General features: G+C 40.3%; 1 protein-coding gene across 19 annotated transcripts in view; it reads left to right on the top strand.

Annotated features, from left to right (window-relative positions):
• The window catches only part of SMYD3 (SET and MYND domain containing 3), a 757933-nt gene that overhangs the window by 572186 nt on the left and 172786 nt on the right, over window positions 1-12961 (top strand). For 18 of the 19 annotated variants that reach the window (NM_001375962.1, NM_001167740.2, XM_047428020.1 and 15 more), the window contains 2 exons: window positions 5157-5224; window positions 7061-7163. In NM_001375962.1, the coding sequence (NP_001362891.1) occupies window positions 5157-5224; window positions 7061-7163 (171 nt within the window). Of the gene's footprint in view, window positions 1-5156; window positions 5225-5541; window positions 5583-7060; window positions 7164-12961 lie in introns of all 19 variants that reach the window. The other variant, NM_001375966.1, reaches the window with a different exon arrangement.

Raw genomic sequence — 12961 nt, 5'->3', positions numbered from 1 at the left:
TGCTATGCAGAAGCTTTTTAGTTTGATGCAACCCCATTTGTCTACATTGTGCTTTGGAGTCATATCTCCTACTTGCTTCTGTCTTTAATCAGGGGTCCATTAGGTTTGCAAATGAAATAACGTGACTAAGAAACAATGGAAAACTATAATGTCAAACTGTCGCAAGACTAGCAGTGTAGTGAAGATGCAGCTTAGTGACTAAGTCGTGAGCATGGGCCTTTGTCCCCGCAACCTTACAGCATGCTCCCTGGTAAAACTTGAGACCCTCCAGCAACTTCCTGGCAAAGGGAAATGTAGTTGGTCATTGTTTCTATTATGGATTTTTTTTTTAATTGAAATTGAAACAGATGCCGAAATCACCTGTACTCTCGTAAACCTTCCGGTAACACTTTGTGGATTCTGGGATTTGCGAATCATCATTTAAGAAGTATAGCCTCTCCTCTCCTGAGCTGACCTCCGTCGCCAGCCTGGTCCCCTCCCGCTGTTCTGGTTTGGAGATTTCAAACCCTTTAACTATGTGACCAAAAGAGGCAATGGGACAGGCAAGGACTGAATTGGGTCCTGAAGGATGGATAAATATTTGCCATACAGATAAGGAGGGATTGGGAGATACAATTTTTAATCTCTTAAGGTTTATGAGAAGATTCTGGAAAAAAATCTGTACTTAATAACCTGTCATATTCTGTGGGTAGAGAAAAATATACCCTGATTAAAATTCTTATTGTGCTTTTAAAGTTAGAGAAATATTAGTTCTAGGAGTCGGGGTGCCGGGGGGCAGAGGCAGTTATGTAGTGTAAAAGCTTCTGCTTCTGGTTTTCGTACCTGCCAACTCTTCCTCCTTCCAGTTTTTCTGTCCAGGGTTTAATAAAACTAAGTACATTAAACTCCGTTTTGAAAACTCATATTTAGTCCCTCTAGTTAGTAAACTTGATGTGCCTAAAGTCTTCTGTGCCAGACACTGTACTGAACATTTTAGACAGAAAAGTTTTAAAGGAGATGCAGATGGTCTTGGAGGAAACCTCTGTATAGTTGTGTTCAGAAACTGAATCCCCTTCTTTTTAAATGTGTTTTAAAATTTGTATATATATTGGGAAATTGAAAGTATTATTTGAAATAGGCTGTGTAGAATTCAGTAATTGGGGGAGGGGGCTGGGAAGTGGCTGGGTTCTTGTCTTATGGTGTAGAATTACTCAGCTCTGATTGGTTGTGAGTTTGCTTATGGCTGTTCTGATTTTTACCGTTGCAAGATAATGGCTTAGTAGTGATTTTCTCTTGTGTTGCAAATATCTCAGTTTAACTGCTGCTACAATACAAAGCCTTTAGTCCTAAGAATTTCAGGAAAAATATGAAATTTGAATACATGGTAATACACTCATTTTGTAAGGTATTCACTTTGTGTGTTGGTATTGATTTTGCTATTTGTGTCTAATCTACCGGGGAATTGCTAACCTCAGGACACAAATGTCAGATTCTGGACCTAGACTCTGAACCAAATGACATAAGAATTTGGTTCACAGAACATTTTAAGTTTCACTGTAGTTGTTTTTATAAAATACAGAGGCTCAATGACAACTCACTAGATTTTTGTCATCTAGAAAAACTATAATATTATATATGAAGGCTTTCAATTAGTTTAAAGGAAAAATTACAGAAAGTAAATATAACTTTGCATTCAATAATAAAACAATTTAAATATGTGTTTTAGTTTTAAGACATGGTAAAAATTTCTAAAGTAATACTCAAGCTTAATTTTTAGAAAGAATTCATTAACCCAGTTGCATTTATTTTTTATTGAAGTAGTACCATTAATATTTTTTTCTAAATGTTATCTTTTTGTGAAGTAAGCATTCATTAATTGTTTTAACCTGTGCAATTCCCTAAGAAAACTGTTTTCACAAAGACAGTACTTTGAAAAATGTTTAAACTTTTATTTCTGGGCTTTATTTCCATTCTTTTAATTCTTGATATAAAGAGCAATTCCTTTCAAATTATTGAGCACACATGGACATATTATCTACCTATTCTTGCACTAAAAAAAAGCCAGAGAGCTTCTGCATATCCACTGTTGCTATCAGTTGTGTATGTCAAAAATATTTCCTGTCAGGTTGTTAATTGAGATAGTGCTGGATGGAGCCAGCATTTTAAATAAAAGTGAGAGTAGGCAAAAAACTAAACCTTCTGTTTACTAGCCCAGAAAGACTAACACGTAACACTCAGACTAATATAGATGAAATCCAGGAGCTATGGCTCACTCCTGTAATCTCAGCATTTTGGGAAGCCGAGACGGGAGGACCACTTGAGGCCAGGAGTTCAAGGTCAGCCAGGGCAATATAGCAAGACTCCTGTCTCTGCAAAAAGTTTTAAAAAATTAGTCAGAGGTGGTGGTGCCAGCCTGTAGTCCCAGTTACCCCGGAGGCTCTGAGGGTGGATTACTTGAGCTCCGGAGTTCGAGGCTGCAGTGAGCCATGATCGCACCACTGCACTCCAGCCTGGGTGACAGAGTGAGACCTTGTCTCTAAGAAAAGGAAATAGATTTATTAGTGTCTTCTGTTTGCCAGGCTTTGAGCCAGGTACAGGACTAGAGTGATGAATGAAACACTGTGTCTGCCCTCCCAAGTATTTTACGATCCAGTTGTGTATGATGGCAAGTAAATGGGTAAATAATGATCCAGTATGATAAATGCTGCTAAAGAGGGAAGTCATCTTAGGAAATCAGGAAGAGTTTCCCAGTGGAAGAGACAAGCAAGCTGACATTTCCTCTTGTTAGCTTTTCCTTCTTAAACATTCCATCAGAATCCATGAAATAAACCGATGGAAAAAAACTGATAAAGATTTTTCCTATTTTGAAAAAACCGTTAATTTGCTTCATAGTCCAGGAAAAAACCATGCTGGTTTGATTCAGAAGTTAACAGATCAGATGTGTTTGACCTGGTTTTTTTGTTGGTGGATTATTTCAACTAAAGTTCTCATTATACTTTAAAATATTTGTTAAAACTTGTATCCCTTCCCAAATTATACACATTTAAAAATGTTTAAAATTTCAAAAATTAAACGTAGGACTTTCTGTCTTATATTTTTACCATCCAATTTATACATAAGTATATATAGACAATGTACTGTTGCTGCTTAATGCAAAATAGTTGTCCTTAAAGCAATTTAGCATTTGTTTACAAATATATATGTATAATTTTGCTCCTGATTTGAAACTGCAATTTTATATATTTAGAGGGAAAAAAGCCAAATCATGCTAGAGTGCACTAGATTTCATGTAAGAGCTGTTTGGAGCAGTGGAAGAGTCTCAGAGGACTCAGTGTGTTTTCATACTTCGTGTTCTTTCATGTAAACCTGATTTGAGAAATTCGTCATCACTTTTTCCTTTACAGAAACTTTATAACAAGTCAGCATCCATTTGTAGTCTCTGGTTCATCTCAAATGTTTAGCCTCTTCTCCTTTTTTTGTTTTTTGATGGCCTTTGTCATGTTTCATCCTAAATTTATATCTCTAGGCGCAACTCCTCTTGTGAACTCCAATTGTTCATTCTTAGTCTTGGCTTGGATTTCAAATTTAACTTAACCAAAACAGAACTGTTGGACTTGCTCTCAACTCCCTGTAACCAAATTTGTTCCTGTTAAATTCTTCCTCATCTTAATAAATGGTAGCTATGATCTTCCACTTGCTTCGGCCAAAAACTCGAGCATTATCCTGACTCCTTTCATTCCCCACAAGCCGTCCCGCAGTAAGTAAGGCCTGTTGGCTGTGCTACCCAGTTCTCCTGCTACCGACATCCGAGTCACCATTGTCTATCACCTGGGCTATAGCAGTGACTTCCTAACCATTTTCTCCACTTCCATTCACCTTTTTATAGCCCATTCTCTACACAACAGCCAGAATGATCCTTTTAAAGCAGAAGTCAGACTCCTTCATGCCTTGGCTCAAAATCCAGTGGCTTTCTATCTTCTTCAGAGCAAAACCCAAATATGGCAGTAGGGCCGTAAGTGATCCCACTCCGTCTTTGAGCTCGTGTTTTGCCCCCTACTTTCTTGCTCCGCTTTGGTCACACTAGCCTCTTTGCTGTTCCTCTGTTACCACGGGCATTCCTAGCGTAGGGCCTTCGCACTTGCTCTTTCTCCTGATATGAGCCTTTATCGCCTATAAATACACACGTTCATTTCAGCAGTCCCTTCAGGTCATTGCTTAAATGTCAACTCATCCTAAAGAGCTTTCTTGACAACTTTTTTTCTCTGTAAGGACCTTGTTTCTCTCCTTGGCATTTATCTACATGTGACAGTTTTCTATCATTGGGTTTTTTAAAAAATCTGTGTATTCAACTAGAACTTGAGCTCCACGGAGGCAGGAACTTTTGTTTTGTTTTTCTTCACTGCTCTTTTCCTCGCACCTGTCTGAAGCAGTGATTTTAGCCAGAATCTAGATTTCCTGATTCTGGTCCAGTGCTCTTTCCATGGTTCTGTGTGACCTCATACATCAACCTTATTTCACAAACGAGGTTTTTAAGTTCCTTGAGCACAGTCGATTGTGTTTTTTACTGCTTCTGCTCCGTCCCTGCATAAGACAGGACTGTGTCATGTACCCAGTGATGGACTCCTGGTAAATACCATGGCTTGACTAAATGACCTCCAGTGCTCCCTGTGGTCTTCACCAACACGCATCAGACGACAGGCTCAGTCACGGGATACTTCGCTTTCTGTAGGAGTAAGAGACAAGTTGCTATCACTGAACAGATACACAGTGGCATTTGGAAACTGCATGCAGTTTGAAAAAATCGTGATACAGCAGGAGTCTAGTTTTCAATAAATAGCTTATTCATATTCTGGATTTTGAACAGTTCATGTAACTGTAACTTTGGGGTAGTGGATAATGAGACTGAAATTAATGGTTCCTCTGCTGGTTTCCGTCTGTTTTTTTTTTTTTTCTCCCAGGAGGTTGGTATTTCTGCACTTAACCACCTGATGTTTTTAGGGGGAGTATATCCCAGATAAATTCTGTTGTAAGTCAAAGAGCATCCATGATTGGCTTGGCTCTTTCTTAAGCAACTACTAAGATGCTCCTACATTTGGGTTTGAACGTTTTTTATTCTCTTGGCTATGAAGTTTCTTAAGTGACTCTAGTAATACTGATGGTTCCCCTTGTGTTTACAGGTGATCTGCAACTCTTTCACCATCTGTAATGCGGAGATGCAGGAAGTTGGTGTTGGCCTATATCCCAGGTATGGTGTATGGTACTTCATGTACTGGAAGACACACTTTCATTCCCACCCAAATCCCCAGCCCTTTGGAGGTAGTTAGAAAGGCAGTTGCTGCAGCTTGTTCAAGAGCCAAGCTTAAAACTTAGCAATAAATTACAAAAAAATGGAAAATGTTAAGTTGAAAGAAAACAGTTTTATAACCCCACATTATATGCTGTGATATTAACAAAGGGGCAGATCTCAGAACTAAACTCTTGTTCTCAGGGGGACTTTGGGTGAAGAAGTTGAGGACGGTGGGTGCTAATTAACCATCGGGCTGATTTTTGGTTATTCCCCAGTTTCCTGAGCTGCAGCACATGCTGATTTCACCGGACTTGCCGTACGTATCAGTTGGGTTCATGTTGTCTTTCGAGTTGGCACACTCTGAGCCCTTTCACTCAAGGAGGCAAGAAAACTCTCAGGCTTTGGCCCCTGAATGCTCTCTCCAGCTATTGCTGAGCTGACTCTTACCACTGAGCTATGAAACCGTCTCTCCACAAGCACTATAGGCACACCCAGTTTCATTTTGTTTTTATGCCATAAGAGTCCAAATACAAATTTAGACTTTCTAATAATTGTGAATCTAAGAATTCAGCCTTTTTTCTTATTTCTCACAATTGTCATTAACTGTAGGTCAGGTCTACTGGTAGGTGGTTCTCAAAAGGCAGTAACATAGGATGATTCAAAGCATGGGCTCTGCGTTCAGGCCACCTGGTCCAAATTCCATCACCACTTACTAGCTGTATGTCCTTGAGCAAGTCATTTAATTTCTGTGCATCAGTCTCTTTACCTGTAAATGATCCTCATAAGATTGTTGTGAGGATTAAATGTGATGAACATGCTCAAGTGCAAGAAAGTGTTTCTACATAGTAAGTGCTCATTCTAATTATTACCAATTCCTGATAGCAGCTTAAATCCATTTTGTTTCCCAGATGGTAAGAAATGTCCCTCCAAGGTAATAAAATGACTGGACCATGGCCCAGGATGCATCAGGATGTAGGTGGCAAAATAACGTCAGCTCTCTATTTAAGAGCAAATAGTCCTAATTATTTTTCAGTGTGGATGTTCTAGCAAAGGCGGCCATTTCTCCAAAGGAGCTCAACAAATGAGATCCTATGGGAGAGGTCAGTGGTATCTTGGCTGCTGCATCCCATTATGTCTGAGTATTTTTTTTTTTTGAGATGGAGTCTCACTCTGTCACCCAGGCTGGAGTGCAGTGGTGCGATCTCGGCTCACTGCAACCTCCGCCTCCTGGGTTCAAGCGATTCTCCTGCCTCCACCTCCTGAGTAGCTAGGACTACAGGCATGTGCCACCACACCCAGCTAATTTTTTTGTATTTTTAGTAGGGACAGGGTTTCACCATGCTGATCAGGCTGGTCTCAAACTGCTGGCCTCAAATGATCCACCCACCTCGGCTTCCTAAAGTCCTAGGATTACAGGCGTGAGCCACCACACCCAGCTGTCTAAGTATTTCTTTCTGAGTCAGTTTCTTTCTGACCTTCGTGTTGGGTTGCCTTATTGACTGTTATCTAATCAGTCAACTATGCCCCAATCCCCAAAAAGGACTCAGGAAATTTTTTTATTATTAAATGACGGAATTCCCTAGTTAGCCTGCATCTTGAGGAGAATTGCACTTCGTGGGAGGTGTGCTAGTGACATTTCTGTGAATGCATCCCCGAGTACTGAACCCCTGGCATCCTGTCAACCCTACCTGCTGCTGCCCCCCAAAGGAAGGTGTATTTTACCCACTGCATTTGTTAAATTTAGTTGACTCTACCTGCTGAGCTGTGACAGTCTTCCCCCCTTTTTTTTTCCAGTATCTCTTTGCTCAATCACAGCTGTGACCCCAACTGTTCGATTGTGTTCAATGGGCCCCACCTCTTACTGCGAGCAGTCCGAGACATCGAGGTGGGAGAGGAGGTAAGGAAACTCATGCTTCCCAGCCTGGCCTTCTTTCCTATCAAAGACCCTCTCAGCTCGGCCCGTCCCTAAAACTGATTGTGCCTGAGGGGACAACTTTTCATTGTCCTTCTGCCAGTGAGAGTATTTGTAGTTCAGTCACCTCTCCCCAGCAACCTATCCTTTCTTCTCCCAAATTACAAATGGGCTAATTTTTTAGGGGAGAGGTCACCATATTTCTGGATGATGACAGTTCCTGTCCTGTGTGTGAGAGAGAGAGGAGTTTGTGTATGACAGAGGGTGTGTGTTTTATGCACACACAGGGAATTCATGAAATCTCCTCAGTGGCAACAGCTGAGCAGCCTCTCATATCCTTCCGTGGGCAGGGGGGGGCATCCCAGCTTGTGAGTGGGATCCCCAAGACTTCTTCACTCGGAAGGCCACTGGCTACATTGAAGGTAATGATGCATGTTAACTTTGTGCTAGTAAAGCAAACAGCTTATACTGTCTCAGGCTGACATTGGGACTTGACAAACCCATCAGCATCTCTGGGTGATCATTTCAGCAAAGATGCAAAGGGAATAGAGGACAGGGAGGATGACCTCCAGCAGTGAACTGGCCTTGACCCCTCCAGTTTGACAGACTGTCCAGCCAGCCTCTTTTGGTGCAGAACCTTCTTACAAGACAGCTGCAAACGGGCTGCTCCAGGGCTCTGAACCTAAGCTTGCACTGGTTTGCACAGTGACTACCCATGCTGAGTTCTGAGTTACAGATATTTCTACTTTCCAGAACCCCGTTTCCTTCTCCTTTCCAATTTGCTAAAGTGGATATTTATTGCAAGGAAAACAGTACTGAAAGCTTTTATTGCATTTATGCAGCACTCAGCCAATAAAACCTCAACTCAGAGGTACCATATTTTATGTAGACAGGGATTTGGCTTTGACAAGATTCTCCCCAAACTGATTTTCAGTGGAAGGAGCCACTTCTTATACAACTACTCGCTAAATTTCCAGATTTTAGGACCAGTGTATGAAATATACTGGGATAGATGTCAGTGAGATGGACAATGTAGTTTTTTCTCTTTTTTTTCTGGGGCCGCAAAGGACTTCAAGGCAGGTAAGAGATGAAACCGCTATCTATTTTCAGCAATATTCATTTGGGGGCTGAAGAGCGGCTGCTGCTGTTGTCGATGATGACGATGTTTTTGCAAATTAAAAAACAAACCAAGTAACTTGACAAAAGCAATTAGAGTTGGTTGGAATTTTCAGAAACAACAAAGAAAGTTTCTTCTATTTTCCTAGGCTCGGCTGCCAGTCATTCTCCCGTGGTTGCTTTTCATTTAGTTGAATAAGACACCTTGTCTTTAGGTGCTGCTTTCACTTTTTCACATCTTTCTCTTTCCATCTCTGGAGCAACAAGCAAATCCTCCCTCTTGCCAAATACGAGACATTTCCACTCAGTGTAAAGCCCTTCAGACTCAGATATTTTTCCCTGTGGTACTTAGCAAGGCATCTTCTCAACAAAAAGAAGGTTCTCCCCACAAGTCCTTCATATATACCAGTTTAAGAGAATAAACATTTCTCCATTCCATTTTGTAGGTCTTGCTGAACAGTGTTTCCCCTGATTCATCATCGTTTCTGTCCACTGTGTCTCTTTGTCTTAATGTTATATGCCCTTCGAGGCTGTTTGTTATGATTTAAACATGTCCCCCAGATTCCATCTGTTGAAAACTTTATCCCCAAATTCTTGCTGATGCTTTGTGGAGGTGGAGTCTTTGGGAAGTAATCCAGATTAGATAAGGTTATCAGGGTGGGAACCCCATGATGAGATTGGTGGCTTTATAAGAAGAGGACACTCCTGCTGCCACCTCATGTGACGCCCTCTGCCATGTTATCAGGCAGCAAGAAGGCCCTCCCCAGATGCCGGTGCCATGCTTTTGGCATCATGCTTCCCAGACTCCAGAACTGTGAGAAATTTATTTATAAATTACCCAGTCTGTGGTATTCTGTTAAAACAGCAGAAAATGGACTAAGATACCCTTTCAATCACATCTCTTGTGTAACTCTTTCCCTGATTTCCCATATTAGAAGAAGTTCTTTTCCTTTGAGTTCTCGCTTATAGTGGTTATTAATACATTTTTGGCACATATTATGGCTGTTTTGGAGACCTCTCTATTTAGAGCTTTATGAGGACAGACAATCGTGTCTTATTTCTGTATCTCTTAGCACTTAGCTTTGCATCCAGGAGGCATTTGATAACTTTTTGTTGAATCGACTCTCTATTATATTGAGCTTACTCTAATGACCGGCAGTATTTCTTGTGGGGACACTATTGCCATTTTGAATGGGACAGTTCTTCATCGTGTGGGATTGTTGCATCATTGGAGAAGACTTGTGTCCTTGGCGTGTGCTTAACTAATGCCTGTAGCCATCCCCCAACAACTAAAATATATCCTATGCCTTTCAAACTGACCCCTTGGAGCAGAGGTAGGGGAGAGGGAGAGCCATGAGAAAAGACAGTTTGAGGCATTGATTAAGCAGGGTAATTCCTATTTATTGTACAAATATTAGCTTTAAATTAAGGAATAAATCTAGACATTTTGTGTTCCCAACATACAAAAATGGTAAATACATGAGGTCGTGGATAACCTAAATACCATCACTTGATCATTACACATCGTATGCAGGTAGCAAAATAGTACCTGGACCCCATAAATATGTATAAATATTATGTATTAATTTTTTGAAAGTTAAAATTCCTTGGGAAAAAATTTTAGACATTTTGGTAATTTCCTATCATGAACTTTGCATTTGGCTTTAGTGCTCATTAGGGCACCCACAGTTTTAATATGAGCTATTTGGGATCTGAGTGTCAGAATATGGGATTCACAATGGAAGACTCAACAGCAACTGAGGCAGAAGTTCCTCAATCAACATTTGTTGAGTAAATTAATGAGACTTCTTAAAGATAAAATAAGAGCTGGAATAGGGCTGGGCACCGTGGCTCATGCCTGTAATCTCAGCACTTTGGGAGGCTAAGGGAGGTGGATCACTTGAGGTCAGGAGTTTGCATCCAGCCTGGCCGACATGGTGAAACCCCGTCTCTACTAAAAATACAAAAAATTAGCCAGGTGTGGTGGCGCACACCTGTAATCCCAGCTACTGAGGAGGCTGAGGCAGGAGAATCGCTTAAACCCAGGAGGCGCAGGTTGCGGTGAGCCAAGATCGCACCATTGCACTCCAGCCTGGGCGACAGAGTGAAACTCCATCTCAGAAAAAAAAAAAAAAAAAAAAAAAGCTGGAATAGAGTCTCAGACATTTACAAATGACTGGCAGTCCTCAGTGGTGTCCCATGGCTCCTGAAAGGAAGGGAATATGAAAGCCAGTCTACTGCCAGTTTAAGATGGGAGCATTTCAAACCTCACACAAGGAGAGCTGGAAAATTGCACAAGGTCTGTGATAACAGAAGTTGCCATGGAAATTTCTCACCCCATGTTTCTCTCTATATAAATCCATCCTTTGGACCCTCTTTGGACAGTTTCCTTGCAAACCAGCAACATTTATAATACTTTGCTATTTAAGGCTCTCCATTGTAATGCTGAGTTATTGGGTCTTTTTTTTTTATTTGACTTTGGATTTTTGTCTCCTCATTCAGCCGCCTCCTACAGAGAGAGATGTGTAATATCATTTAAGTCATGGCTCACTTGACTGGATTGCTGATGGCTACCTTTTCAAAATTATCTTAAATATGAGATTCATTTGTTCTGATAGTTTTATAAAACATGGATCAGGGAGGAAAGCTGGGTAGGCCAAAGCAGTCTTATGGTAGTTCCTGGTTAAAATAACTTGTAGCTGTTACAAATAATGCCATTGGCTGCCAGCATTCTCTGGCGCCATATCAACTGGGAGAAATGTGATTGACACAAGTTGAATGCATTAGTATCCCTAATGTCAGTCTTAATCTGATGTCTTTTGGGATTAAGACAGTCTGTTTCTTCTGTTAGTCATCTTATTTGCTAAACCATTAAACGAATTCACTGCATGTTTACTGGATGTCAGGAGTTGGTAGCAGTTTTAGAAACCTTCTCTAATACAAAGATTATTAAGACCCAGCCCTGACTTCAAGAGTTCAAGGTATAGTTGAGGAAACTGACAGAGAACAGAAAACAATAATAGAATTAAGATGCACAGTGGTGTAAATGGGCACAGGCTTACAGCAGCTCAGAGCAGGAGCACTCGAGTGATTAGTAAGGGGAGGGAGTGGAGAGTGGTTAAGGAATGCTTCCAGAGGACTGACTCCTAGACTCTGAAAGGATCCATGGAGTTAGAGTTGGATGAGGCTGGAAAAGGCATTGTAGACATAGACACAGAGGCCAGGGACAGAATGGTGAGTTCAAGGAGTAGGAAGCAGTTCTCATCAATAGACGACGAAAGAATTTAGATGTGACCCGAATTTGAGGGAAGATGTAGGGATCAGACTGACAAACCCCATGGGAGCCTTATCACAGACCTTGGTTTAGCTGAAGGTTTCATAACATTGGCTGGTCTATAGGAGGCGCCCAGTAAATATTTGTGTAAGGGAGAAGGACGAGCAGCGGGACATGATTGAAGGGTTTCAGCAAAGGAACTGCGTGGCCAGATTTTCTTGTTTTTTTTTTCCTGCATGTTTACAAATGTTACTGTTTTTTATTGTATGTACTATACATAAAACACTTGAAGAAAACAATTTTTAAAACCCCACCCAATTCTAACCCCTGAGTTAGATTTGGGATATCACAAACGAAACATTTTACTCAGTGTACATTCAATTTTACCTCAGTCACTGTTGCTGTAGTGTGAGTTTTTCTCAACTCGTTGAACCATATGATTGAAACGTGATGTTTCCTTTGCCTTTCATTCACTTTTTGTATATACGACCATGGCTATGATGATAGGGAATATTTATAGGGTGATTCAATTTAGGAAGCAATAGATGAAGCCTAATAGGTAAAAACAAAAAACAAAACCCAAGGACTACAAAATTGAGTAAGACCTAAGTAGTCTGTACCATCTTTGGAATCTTAGAAAACTCAGATAATGTTACATATTCATTTTTTTTATTTTATGGAAGAAAATGTAAGGTTTAAACTGGGAAATGATTTGTTCAGTGCTACACTTACTACTACGCAGTGTGGAGGGGGTTAGTAATAAAGCTTCATTCTCAGGATTGAAGTAACAAATTATTTACCTAGGACAGTGCCCAGCACATGATGCTTACTACATAGTGATTTTCTTCTTCCATTTGTGATTAGAGTTTCCTGAAGGGAAAAGTAGAGCTCAAATGGTGAGTGTCCAAAAAAAAAATATGACATTAGAGATTTCTCATAAATTGTGGAAACATATTTAGAGAATCTATCAAAACTATAGTAAATCTCATCTTACGTATCAAAGCAGAATAATTGGTCTTTGGTGGAGGTGGTCTGGCTGATGTTTGGACTCGGCAAGAAAGATTGCTACAACTGTTGAATAACATTTGGTTTGTGTATAGAAGTGTTGGTCCATGATGACATCTACACAGATTATTTTCCATTCTTAAATTAACATTTTCTATAGGCAGTCTTTGTTCTAATACATGCTCCTCTGAAATTGAAGCTGAAAGTGTTATGACCAGTTTCACTTTAAATGAAGGTACCTTTAAGTCTGAAATGAGCCGGTGCTTTCAGGTTTAGGCTGTTGAATACAAATACATACAAGTTTGATTTTTGTTTTTGGCTTAAGATGATAAAATTACTTTTAACGGGGTTTTATTAAATTATATTCAATAAATAACTAAATTGTGAT

The sequence above is a fragment of the Homo sapiens genome, chromosome 1 (assembly GCF_000001405.40).
Source record: "Homo sapiens chromosome 1, GRCh38.p14 Primary Assembly".
NCBI lineage: Eukaryota > Metazoa > Chordata > Mammalia > Primates > Hominidae > Homo > Homo sapiens.
Note: the sequence above shows the minus strand (reverse complement) of the source record. Positions and strands in the feature narration are given on the sequence as shown.